The 12,400-nt window shown below is 44.3% G+C and overlaps 2 protein-coding genes and 1 long non-coding RNA gene across 23 annotated transcripts in view, besides 2 other annotated features; 2 read left to right on the top strand and 1 right to left on the bottom strand.

The window, feature by feature from the left end:
• Positions 1–7,919, top strand: part of TERB1 (telomere repeat binding bouquet formation protein 1) — a 47,386-nt gene extending 39,467 nt beyond the window's left edge. For 10 of the 17 annotated variants that reach the window (XM_047433947.1, XM_011523009.3, XM_047433950.1 and 7 more), the window contains 3 exons: positions 3,269–3,418; positions 3,721–3,786; positions 7,396–7,919. In XM_047433947.1, coding sequence (XP_047289903.1) covers positions 3,269–3,418; positions 3,721–3,786; positions 7,396–7,583 — 404 coding nt within the window. In that variant the 3' untranslated portion in view covers positions 7,584–7,919. Of the gene's footprint in view, positions 1–3,268; positions 3,445–3,720; positions 3,862–5,075; positions 5,274–5,327; positions 6,811–7,395 lie in introns of those variants that run through there. The other 7 variants (XM_047433956.1, XM_047433951.1, XR_007064867.1 and 4 more) reach the window with 6 other exon arrangements.
• Positions 7,816–10,807, bottom strand: DYNC1LI2-DT (DYNC1LI2 divergent transcript). The gene is made up of 2 exons (NR_133569.1): positions 9,659–10,807; positions 7,816–9,563 (listed from the first exon to the last, which is right to left on the bottom strand). It is a non-coding gene; the product is annotated as a DYNC1LI2 divergent transcript (long non-coding RNA).
• Positions 10,523–11,322: a silencer, noted in NCBI's record as "silent region_7567". NCBI's record gives its function as "represses an Ori minimal core promoter by ATAC-STARR-seq in GM12878 lymphoblastoid cells {active_cell/tissue: GM12878}" and the evidence as "EXISTENCE:reporter gene assay evidence [ECO:0000049][PMID:35858748]".
• Positions 10,594–11,309: an enhancer, noted in NCBI's record as "H3K27ac hESC enhancer chr16:66785153-66785868 (GRCh37/hg19 assembly coordinates)". NCBI's record gives its function as "activates a minimal SCP1, AML or CMV promoter by ChIP-STARR-seq in naive H9 embryonic stem cells {active_cell/tissue: H9 hESC(naive)}" and the evidence as "EXISTENCE:reporter gene assay evidence [ECO:0000049][PMID:30033119]".
• Positions 10,950–12,400, top strand: part of DYNC1LI2 (dynein cytoplasmic 1 light intermediate chain 2) — a 30,717-nt gene continuing 29,266 nt past the window's right edge. For all 5 annotated transcript variants that reach the window (NR_136658.2, NM_001323955.2, NM_001286157.2 and 2 more), the window contains exons 1-2: positions 10,950–11,074; positions 11,213–11,286. Coding sequence is in view for 4 of the 5 variants with exons in the window: in NM_001323955.2 (NP_001310884.1) it covers positions 10,968–11,074; positions 11,213–11,286 (181 nt within the window). In the remaining variant the exon portion in view is untranslated. The remainder of the gene's footprint in view (positions 11,075–11,212; positions 11,287–12,400) is intronic.

Here is a 12,400-nt window from a genome sequence, read left to right as displayed (position 1 = left end):
TAAAAAATTAGCCAGGTGTGGTGGAGCATGCCTGTAGTTGTAGCTACTTAGGAGACTGAGGCTGGAGGATCACTTGAGCCCAGGAGGTCAGGGCTAAAAGTGAGCTGTGATCATACCACTGCACTCCAGTCTGGGTGACAGGGAGACCCTGTCACAGGAAAAAAAACAAACAAACAAAAAACAATTCCTTATCTGTTAAGGATGCATGTGAAGTATTTACAGATGAAATGATACTTTAATGTAAATTCCAGGTGTCATAATCCAGTGCATACGTGGGGACAGAGCTGAGTAGGTAGAGGTATAAATAAAACATGATTAGCCATGAGTTAATAATTATTGAAGCTGGGTGATAGATATATGGGAGTTCAGTGTTTGAAATTTTACATAATAAAATGTTAAAAACAAAAAAGATGACTGAGCTTAAGGATCACTTCTTTTGGATATCTTCCCTTAACAGGGACTCTTGCTCAAAACCAGACAAACTAGATATTCCTTTTTCTTTTTTTTGAGATAGAGTCTCACTCTGTCGCCAGGCTGGCGTGCAGCGGTGTGATCTCGGCTCACTGCAGTCTCTGCCTCCCGGGTTCAAGCGATTCTCCTGCCGCAGCCTCCCGAGTAGCTGGGATTACAGGGGCGCGCCAATACACTTAGCTAATTTTTGTGTTTTTAGTAGAGACGGGGTTTCACCATGTTGGCCAGGGTGGTCTCCATCTCCTGACCTTGTGATCTGCCCGCCTAGGCCTCCCAAAGTGCTGGGATTACAGGCGTGAGCTGTCTTTTCTTTTTGAGACAGGGTCTTATTCTGTGTAATGGTGTGATCATGGCTCACTGCAGCCTTGAACTCCTGGTCTCAAGGGATTCTCCTGCCTCAGCCTCTTAAGTAACTAGGACTACAGATGTGTGCCACCACACCCGGCTAATATTTTTTTTGGTAGGGACAGGGTCTCACTATGTTGCCCAGGATGGTCTTGAATTCTTGAGCCCAAGTGATCCTCCCACCTTGGCCTCCCAAAGTGCTGGGATTACAGGCATGAGCCACCACTCTCAACCCTTCAACCCTAGATGCTCTTTTCTTTTCTTTCTTTCTTTCTTTTTTTTTTTTTTTTTGAGACAGAGTCTTGTTCTGTCACCCAGGCTTGAGTGCAATGGTACAGTCTCAGCTCACTGCAACCTCTGCCTTCCAGGTTCAAGCAATTCTTCCACCTCAGCCTCCCAAGTAGCTGGGATTACAGGCACCTGCCGTCATGCACGGCTACTTTTTGTATTTTGAGTAGAGACGGGGTTTTGTCATGTTGGCCAGGCTGGTCTTGAACTCCTGACCTCAAGTGATCTGCCCACCTTGGCCTCCCAAAGTGCTGCGGTTACAGGCATGAGCCACTGCACCCAGCCTAGATGCTCTTTTTATTTTCTTTTTTCTTTTTCTTTTCTTTTCTTTTTTTTTTTTTTTTTGAGGTGGAGTCTCGCTCTGTCGCCCAGGTTGGAGTGCAGTCGCGATCTCAGCTCACTGCAACCTCCACCTGGCGGGTTCAAGCGATTCTCCTGCCTCAGCCTCCCAAGTAGCTGGGACTACAGGCACCCACCACCATGCCTGGCTAATTTTTGTATTTTTAGTAGAGACGGGGTTTCGCCATATTGGCCAGGCTGGTCTCGAACTCCTGACCTTGTGATCAGCCCGCCTCAGCCTCCCAAAGTGCTGGGGTTACAGGCATGAGCCATTGCACCCAACCTAGATGCTCTTTTTCTTTTCTTTTCTTTTCTTTTTTTTTTTTTTTTTTGAGATGGAGTCTCGCTCTGTCACCCAGGTTGGAGTGCAGTCGTGATCTCAGCTCACTGCAACCTCCGCCTGGCGGGTTCAAGCGATTCTCCTGCCTCAGCCTCCCAAGTAGCTGGGACTACAGGCACCCACCACCATGCCTGGCTAATTTTTGTATTTTTAGTAGAGATGGGGTTTCACCATATTGGCCAGGCTGGTCTCGAACTCCTGACCTTGTGATCAGCCCGCCTCAGCCTCCCAAAGTGCTGGGGTTACAGGCATGAGCCATTGCACCCAACCTAGATGCTCTTTTTCTTTTCTTTTCTTTTCTTTTCTTTTTTTTTTTTTTGAGATGGAGTCTCGCTCTGTCACCCAGGTTGGAGTGCAGTCGTGATCTCAGCTCACTGCAGCCTCCGCCTGGCGGGTTCAAGTGATTCTCCTGCCTCAGCCTCCCAAGTAGCTGGGACTACAGGCACCCGCCACCATGCCTGGCTAATTTTTGTATTTTTAGTAGAGATGGGGTTTCGCCATATTGGCCAGGCTGGTCTCGAACTCCTGACCTTGTGATCAGCCCGCCTCAGCCTCCCAAAGTGCTGGGGTTACAGGCATGAGCCATTGCACCCAACCTAGATGCTCTTTTTCTTTTCTTTTCTTTTCTTTTTTTTTTTTTTTTTTGAGATGGAGTCTCGCTCTGTCACCCAGGTTGGAGTGCAGTCGTGATCTCAGCTCACTGCAACCTCCGCCTGGCGGGTTCAAGCGATTCTCCTGCCTCAGCCTCCCAAGTAGCTGGGACTACAGGCACCCACCACCATGCCTGGCTAATTTTTGTATTTTTAGTAGAGATGGGGTTTCACCATATTGGCCAGGCTGGTCTCAAACTCCTGACCTTGTGATCAGCCCACCTCAGCCTCCCAAAGTGCTGGAATTACAGCGTGAGCCACTGCGCCCGCTCTAGATGCTCTTTTTCTTTTCTTTTCTTTCTTTCCTTTTTTTTTTTTTTTTTTTTTTGAGACAGAGTCTTGCTCTGTCGCCCAGGCTGGAGTACAGTGGCACAATCTCAGCTCACTGAAACCTCCACCTCCTGGATTCAAGTGATTCTTCTGCCCCAGCCTCCCAAGCAGTTGGGACTACAGGTGCATGCCACCACACCCTGCTAATTTTTGTATTTTTAGTAGAGACGAGGTTTCACCATATTGGCCAGGCTGGTCTCGAACTCCTGACCTCATGATCCACCCACCTTGGCCTCCCAAAGTGCTGGGATTACAGGCATGAGCCACCGTGGCCGGCCTAGATGCTCTTTTTCTAAAGCACCGTAACTGTTCATACCTCCCTCCCAGCACTTATTTCACTCTGTTGTATTTGTTGTCTTTACTCCCTCATATGATTTTGAGCTTCTTGAGGTGTTTATAGTTCCTGATTTTACTTCAGTTACCATCATATAGATATTTGCTATCATAGATTTGTTACTAGATATTTTGTGACATCTACACATAACTTTAATTTGTTTTCTTTTAGGTTGCATAGCAGTAGAAAAATCCCTGAATAGCCGAAACTTTAGCAAGCTCTTGCACTCTTGCCCATACCAATGTGATCGTCACAAAGTCATTGTGGAAGCTGAAGACAGATATAAAAGTGAACTAAGGAAATCACTTATCTGTAACAAAAGTAATTAATTCAGCAGCTTTAAAATTGTAATTATGGCTATACCTTCTGAACTATTATCTAAAGCATTAAATATATTAAAAACTAGAGGATAAAATAATCTTAAAAAGAAAATCTGTCTCTAAGCAACAAGTAATTGAAGATGTACCCAGGGAGTAGTCTTAGACTGTTGGTTTAAAAATTCTTCCTAATCTATCTAAGTATTCCCACTAGACGGGGGAATAAAGGAAATATACTAATGGAATTGATATGCTATTACTCAGATTGATACGCTAAATGTGCTAAATGTTTTCCATATTTTTCAGAAATTCTGCTGACCCCACGTAGAAGACAACGACTCAGTAATGAATCTACTACCCCTGGAGGAATAAGTGAATATATTTAATTTAATTTTTTTTTTCTTGAGACAGGGTCTGGCTCTGTTACCCAGGATGGAGTGCAGTGGAGCAATCTCGGCTCACTGCAGCCTCCGCCTCCCAGGTTCAAGTGATTCTCCTGCCTCAGCCTCCTAAGTAGCTGGGATTACAGACATGTGCCACCACACCCTGCTGGTTTTTGTATTTTTAGTAGAGATGGGGTTTCACCATGTTGGCCAGGCTGGTCTCAAACTCCTGACCTCAAGTGATCCACCCACCTTGGCCTCCCAAAGTGCTGGGATTTCAGGCATGAGCCATTGCACCTGGCTGAATATATTTAATTTTTAAATGAACTTAAATTTCATATATTTCTGAGAAAGAACAGCTGAGTGGTTGTTCTCAGTCTTATTATTAATGGATCTTAAATGATAAACCTTGCCTCTGATGAGGGTCAGACCTTCTAATAAAAGAGACTTTCCTCTTCCCTTCATGTTGCTTGCTCACTCACTGCCTGCCAGCAGGGGAAGGAGCAGGAGGAAACTAACATTTATTAAGCACCTGCTAGGTGTTAGGTGTTGTATAGATATTATTTCCTTTAATTCCTATAGCAATATTGTAAGTTAGATATTAATTTGCTCCTATTGTAAGGCATAATTATTAATACTTGGTAAGTGGCAGAACTTAGATTCAAAAAGCCATTCTCCAGAAGCCCTTGTTCTATCCTCACATTTCTATTTTAAGAACAAAATTATTATGCACAAGTGCTTCAGAGAGACTTTGCAGGTTTTTGTTCATAACTATAGTGCTTGAAACAATAAAAATTGAAGAGACAAATAGTATAAACTTTAAAACTCTGCTTAAGAAATAAAAATGCCTCTTAAACAATTAGTTAATTTATGGGAATTTTTATTTAACTATAGGGTTAACATTTCACATTGATCACCATTTCCGATGTATCAGAAACTTAAATAACATCATCATTTTCTTTTATTCGTACGGAGTTAATACCTGCAGACTAAAATAGGTTGGATATATTAATTAGTAACACCTATAGAGCCACTCTGTTATTTAGACATTTGGACGTGATACATTCAGGAAGCATTTTGCCACATATATTTATTTGGCTATTTTCACTGCCAAAACTTTCAAGGAAATTTCAAATTTGATTTTTATATCTGAGTCTTTTTCTAGATTAAAAGTTCTGCATGCAAATTATAATTAAGTATAGTACCACTACAGATGAGCCCACTTTCTGAAGTAATGTTTTCTATAGTAATTGTTAGAAAATGGGTGTTTTTTCATAGAAACATCATGCACTTGGAGATCTTGTTCTTGACAAGGGCTTGGCATCAAATTAATAATAGGTGTTTTTCAGCAACATGTCTTCAAAGCAAGTACGTAACAATGAAAAATATGCTGTAATCTATTTGCATATTAAAATAATTTGCAGAACTTCATGAAATGTGCATAATAATGGTTATACAATGATTATATACAGCAGTCCTATATACTGTTAAGTGACATTGAGCTCAGAAAAACATGCCTTTTTTTTGTAGGTAAGACTTGCTTTAGCTAAAACCAAATAATCTGGCCTACTTTTTAGAATTTAGAAAGGAACCTTGAGAAAGTAGTGATTCTTACATCTCTTTCACAAGCCGGCCAGGAATATTTGGTATGTTGCCATTTTTTCCCCCTTGATAAACTTAACCTTTTTTTAGGATACTCACCACCGTTCATTTAATTATACTTTATACTCAAATGTGAGCCCATTCTTCTGAGAAGGAACCACTGTCCTAAGCATTTACAGATTTCCCCAAGTCTCTATTTCAGGATGGATTGGTGTTTTGAGAGGGCTTGAAAAATAAAAGAGTCCTTAGAATTAAGCCCTCTTGCCCATTTTCCCTTGCTCTTCCCTAATACCTAATATTACAAGGAGCACTAAAGAAGTCACAGAGCGGGGAGCTTGGGGTGTAGAGAGCTGCTTCCTTCTTCCAGGCTGCTCAGTACTCTGCTGTAGGAATCTTTGAAGATTTGGGCACAGATATTAAGTATAAAAGTCAGGGAGATGGCAGCCACAATGGAAAAGTGGGGCTTTACATGATCAACTCCAGGGCTCAATATCCTGAAAGTTATAGTAACCAATCTAGTCCTGATTATTATGGGTTCAAATCATTTAGCAAGGGAAGTTGAAACCTATTTCTTGGATAGCCACAGTTTTCCAGTACACCCAAAATGAAAGAATAATTTCATTGATAAGCTTTGAGATAGTTTTACCAATAAATTTTTTCTCTCAACAAGTATTTATTGACTACCTACTGTGTGTCAGATACTATTCTAAGCACTGGGGATACAATGGTGAATAAAATAGATCAAAATTGCTGCCCTCATGGAGCTTACATTCTAAATAATACTATTAAGTAATAATCAGACATTTACACTGATAACCTTCTGCTGGGAAGATTTTTTCATCTGTTTTAAAAGGTCTGAACTGTGGCTCTTAGAAAAGGTAAACAAATGGCTGTCTTGGCCTGCAAGGGCAAGGTTTTCTAAGGGTGACCCAGGACAACTGCACCCAGTACTACGAAAGTAAATAACAGCCTCAACTGGAAATACAGAAAACTTCTCCTCACCAGCATCTACCCACATTGATAAGATGAGATAATAATGAATGAAAAAGCTTAAAGAAAACTATTTCCTAGTAATCATCACCAGAAAATATTTGTTTACAGATACCAGCTGTATATTCTTTCTTTATAGAAAGTATCCCTTAAAAACCAAATAGTTAAAAACTTCCTTCCTCATTGTGCAGCCTATATTTTGAGTTTTGATCTAGCTGACCATGTGTTTTTAAAAGCAAATTTCAAAAGACCCTTATTCTTAAAAATATTATCAAACCTAATATTTAACAAGTGTTGATATTCTTTTCTATTCTATCAAGTTATGGAGCCCTTTGGGAAGACTGTATCTCTAAGATACGTAAGCTGTTTTTTATTTTTATTTATTTATATATTTTGAGACAGAGTCTTGCTCTGTCGCCCAGGCTGGAGTGCAGTGGTGTGCTGTCAGCTCACTGCAACCTCTGCCTCCCGAGTTTAAGCAATTCTTGTGCCTCAGCCTCCCGAGAAGCTGGGACTACAGTCACGTGCCACCATGCCTGGCTACTTTTTGTATTTTTGGTGGAGAGAGATTATTGCCACGTTGACCAGGCTGGTCTCGAACTTCTGACCTCAAGTAATCCACCTTCCTCAGCCTCCCAAAGTGCTGGGATTATAGGCATAAGTCACCGTGCCTGGCCGGTAAGATGTTTGTTAACTGTCCTCACAGGAATGTTGAATTAACAATCAAATGTTTATAAACTTTTGTTTCTTGACTGAAAGATGTTGTATTACTACTGTCAATTAAGTTATAATTACTGAAGAAGTCACAGTGATAGCAACTAGCTTAATATTAGGCACTCAGGTTTTTAAAATTGAAGTGGGTTTCCACATGATGAGAAGCCCTGGCATTTCTCACTCTGTAGTTTATATCCTTAGGTATAAGTTAAGCATATCCAAATAAGCACTTATTTGCATCTCAGGACCTTTGTTCAGCAAATACTAATATATTCTACAATTCTAATTATAGAAAAAAGAAGAATTCGCAAAAACTTTACTGAAGAAGAAGTAAATTACCTTTTCAATGGAGTTAAGAAAATGGGAAATCACTGGAATTCAATTTTGTGGTCTTTCCCCTTTCAGCAAGGACGGAAGGCTGTGGACCTTGCTCACAAATACCACAAGCTGACCAAACACCCCACGTGTGCAGCTTCTTGATTGAAAGAAGACTGTCAGTTTTTAGTTTGGATTCTTAAAATACAGTGCCTTGAAAGATACATTTAAAGTATTTTTCTAAACTCTCATGAGAAGGAATGTGGAAATGAGGATACAGTTTTCATTAAACAGTTTTTGTGATGCTGAAACTCATCAAATTACAATGATTTATAAAGCAAATATATCATCAGTGTACAGATTAGTAAGAAAATTCCTTCATAAGATCAAACATTTGTTTAGGAATATGCTTTTATTTTTCCTTAAGCTTAAAGGACACAGAGAAAAGAATTAGCCTTTAAATGTTATTTGACATTATATTGCAATAAATACTATGTGGGACATTTGGATTTTAGTATTTTTATATGGTACAAAAGTCCCTCCCCAGAATTCAGAAAGAATAGTTCCCCAAGCTATTTAACTAAGGTTCCCATACACTAAATCAATATTTGACATTTTGTTAATTAAAATGTTTCCTTGGCTGTGGTGGTGGCCCATATTTGTAATCCTAGCACTTTGGGAGGCCAATGTGGGAGGATCACTTGAGGCAAGGAGTTTGAGACCAGCCTGGGCAACATAGTGAGACCCCTATCTTTACAAAAAAATTTAAAAATTAGCTGGATGTGGTGGCATGCCCCTGTGGTCCTAACTACTTGAGAGGCTGAAGTGGGAGGATCGCTTGAGCCCAGGAGTTCGAGGTTGTAGTTAGTTATGAGTGTTTCACTGTACTCTGGCCTGGACAAGAGCAAGACCCTATCTCTTAAAAAAGTTTCCTCTTCTATTGTTTATTGTAGTATCCTAGAGGAAAAAAAAAAAGTTTCTTCTTCTAAAGACTAATTATGCAGTTGCTTTGAATACTCCCACATCATATAGTCAGGTTCACTTCTTTTTGGTGTATGTTTATTTGCTTTAGCTTTTCAGAAATGTCTACACTTTCCCTTCTTCTCCCTCTGTATCTTTATCCTTCATACTGATGAGCCCTAGTTACTTCATGTTGCAGCAGAACGATGTCTTGTCCCCTTATGAGTTTAGTCACTGACCACTGGATACCTCTGTCTTTGCAAAATGTGTCCAGAAATGTCACCCTAAGAAATCCAGCCTGACTGGCATGGGGGGCTAGCTTCTTTGTTAGCATCAGTGAGGTTTTATGGGTTCTACCCTAAGATGTTTCTTGGCATTCTACATGACCAACTCTTAGATTATAGTTAATACAGTAATGACGTTTAGATTATCATTTTTATTTCAAATAATTTCCTATCCTATTCCTATGCATTTTTAAATTAAATTTTACTTTATTTGACAGTCTTACTCTGTCGCCCAGGCTAGAGTGCAGTGGTGTGATCTCAACTCCCTGCAGCCTCTGTCTCCTGGGTTCAAGCAATTATCGTGCTTCAGCCTCCCAGGCAGCTGGGATTACAGGCGGATGCCACCATTCCTGGCTAATTTTTTTTTTTTTTTTTTGTATTTTTAGTAGAGACGGGGTTTGGCCATGTTGGACAGGCTGGTCTGGAACTCCTGACCTCAAGTGATCCGCCAGCCTCGGCCTCCCAAAGTGCCGGGATTACAGGTGTGAGCCACCGTACCTGGCCTTCCTATGCTTTTTTGTTAAACTCTTCCACAGGACTTTAATAGTTCCTGCTAAATTTCAACTTGTTAGATTTAGTCTCTGCTCAGTTTGTCATGCAGTAGATAAGGCAACCCTTCCTGCTTCAGGTCATCCACAACTTCCATGACTGCTGCTGTATTCTTATCCAAGTCACTGATGGCACCCTGAATTGGCTGGCCAGGGCAGGAGGTTTGGGCAGGCCCCTAGCAGCCTCATCTGCTGGTCCCTCCTCTTCATCAGCCACCTCTGGGCTAGTCTTTAATAAGCCTCAGTGCTATCATCCAGCATTGATTTCACTTTCGCATCTAAGATGTGAATTGTCAAATGCCCTGTTGAAATCTGCATTTGCTGTATCTGCAGCATCCGCCTACCTGGTACTCCTGCAAAAAAGAAAGATACTGTGTAAATCTGGTATTCTCTTTTCCTTTAGTGTTTAATCACAAAATTTCACTTAGTGCTGATTAAGCTCACTGGCCTGTAATTTTCATCTCCATCTTCTGTCCTGTGAAAATTCAGCACTGCTTGCCCTTTTAGGACTTCTGGCACTTTGCCTGATTTTCCCAGATTTCCAAGGGAGGAACTCAGTGGGTTTTCACTCTCGTCTTGTTTAAACCTTACATCCAGTTTGGCAGATGATATGCCCATTTGTTTTATCCCGTAATTCATGCCGCCAGATTTTTTGGCATCAGGATCACAATCCTACTCATCTGAAACCTACTTAGGTGGTGCTTTTCTGCCACATTCCACTTCCTTGTGATATTTAGAAATGTCTTGTTAGCCTGTTTCCATAGAGAATGGCAAGAGCCCTCAAGTAGAGGCCACACCTAAAATTAAGCTTGATAATGGAATGTATGTTTTTCCTTCGGTTACTCTCCGCTCTTTCCCTTTTCCATCCCCTTTCCTTTTATTTTTCTCCCCGCTCTGCACCTGCCAGCTGGCCCCCAAGGAAATTAAGGGCTCCTCTTCTGGTGTGAAATGCTGGCTCCCTGAAAACATCATTTTAAAAAGCATGTTAATAAAGCAAAGCCAAGTGTATTATGCACTGCGGTCAAGAGCACTACTTCACAGTCTTTAGTCTTCGGAGGAGGAGGGGGAAATGCAGGATATTTATGAGGATTCTGGGGTCTTCCTTAAGGCTAGTCTTTCAATGCAGGGCTTGAGTAGGGTTAGGCCAAGTTCATGATATAATGGTCCAAGGTTGGGGAATAAATTAGAAGTACCGAATGTTATCTTCTAGCCTTGGGTCCTTGGGTGGGTTTCTTAAATTTTTTGAGCTTCAGGTTCCTCATCTGTGAAAGGGTTAGATAAGATTCAGTGAGATAATGTGTGACTCTGGCACATGGTGAGCTCTAGATAAATGGCGCTTTTGTGTCCATCAGTCTCATTCCCAAAGCCTAGGCTTTCGGGTCGGTCATCCGGCTGCCCGACCCGCGACGGCGCAGGGGAATCGGCGAGCGTGGCGGGGTGCTGCGCTGCGCCCCTCAGCCGGCAGAGGCCGCCAGCGCGCCCTCGGTCCGGACGGTGCCCGCCCCTGCCACCGCCTCCCCGCGCATGGCTGCCCCGGCGGCTGCCTGACCGCCGCCCGCCACCTCGGCGGCCTCGCAACCCGTGGGAGCCCGTGGCCATCGCAGACCTAGAGGACACGTTGGGCGGCGCAGTCGCCGCGGCAAGGTCGGCGGGCGGCGCGGCGCGAGGGACGGCGAGCGGGGGGCGGCCCGGCCCGGGTCCTCGCGGGTCCTCGGCGGGCCCGGGGGAGGGCCCTCTTTGTGGCTGCAGTTGGCAAGATGGCGCCGGTGGGGGTGGAGAAGAAGCTGCTGCTAGGTCCCAACGGGCCCGCGGTGGCGGCCGCCGGCGACCTGACCAGTGAGGAGGAGGAAGGCCAGAGCCTATGGTGAGGCCGCGGGCGGTCGGGCCGGGCCGTGGGGGGCGCGGCCTCTGGGCCGGACCGTCGGACACACTGAGGGGCCGACGCGAGCCGGGCCATCCCAGCCCGGCCCGGGGCTGACCACTCTTGCCATTGTCGCCACAGGTCCTCCATTCTGAGCGAAGTGTCCACCCGCGCCAGGTCCAAGCTGCCGTCCGGCAAGAACATCCTGGTCTTCGGTGAGCGCCGGCGGCGGGGCGTTGCCCCAGGTCGCTGGGGTGGGCGAGGCGGGCGCCCCTCCCTCAGGTCCCCGCCTTCCCCGTTCCAGCCGCCTGCCCGCAGCCTGGCGGGAAAGGGACCGTCGGCCCTGGCCGGTCAGCTGGAGAGTGGTCAAGCCTCCAGCGCCTGAGGGTGGGATGCTGCCCTCTTTGGAGAGCGTAGTGGTGCTTTGGGGTTGTCGGCATATTGTTTCAGTCACTTGGCCCTCTATGCCTTCATTGCCTCGACGGTTACCAAATTGAGGTCGTGGAGAGGGGAAGCTAGTAGATGAGATTAGGTGGAGAAGGTGGGAGAACGAGGTGACCTGGGCTCGGAGCTGTGGGGAAATGACCACGGGAGCCTTCTTTGAGCCTCATCAGTAGTGCATAGTCCGAGGTTTTAGGGACTTTGCAGAGGACAGAGAGTCAGCACTGGGGACGTTTCCTCCATTATGCTAGCCCTCACTGCTAGGTTACCTGAGTCAGGTCCCTTACTCCCTCTGGCCTCACTCTCCTCAAGTGAGGGAGTTTGGGTACATTCACACAGCAAGTCCATTTGTTGCTTGGGACCTGTGGGCTGGGCACAGGCTCAGCATAGGCGACTCTTAAACACTATAGAAGAATCTCAGTCTGGTGGAAGACAGATGTATTGGTGATTGCATTGCACCATGCCGATTATTGTGGAAGCATTACACTGCTTAGAGCTGGTGAAGGAGGATGATTCGGGGGTTGAGTATTTTGCAGAAAAGTGTCAGTATGCAGGGACACAGATGACAAGAGGGTGTGGGGTTTGGAAACTGCTAGAAGCGCCTTGTGGTTGGTGGCTGCTAAGGTAAGTTGGGGGCAGATTGTGGGAAGGCTGAAGAGTTAGTGCTGTTTCCTGAAGTTCTCTGATTTTTCAAATGGCTTTTATCTCACCTCCATCCCCCAATTCCCATGGGAATCACTGCCTTGGTAGTTTTCCTACTGTTAGAATGTGTGACCTTTCTCAGGAATTGACTGTGGTAGGTAATACCGGACCCTTAGAGATCTTCAAGAAGTGGGGGATCAAGATCACCAGATCTGAGTTTTAGAAAGAACGCTGCCTGCAGAGGGA

The sequence above is a fragment of the Homo sapiens genome, chromosome 16 (genome assembly GCF_000001405.40).
Source record: "Homo sapiens chromosome 16, GRCh38.p14 Primary Assembly".
Classification (NCBI taxonomy): domain Eukaryota; kingdom Metazoa; phylum Chordata; class Mammalia; order Primates; family Hominidae; genus Homo; species Homo sapiens.
Note: the sequence above shows the minus strand (reverse complement) of the source record. Positions and strands in the feature narration are given on the sequence as shown.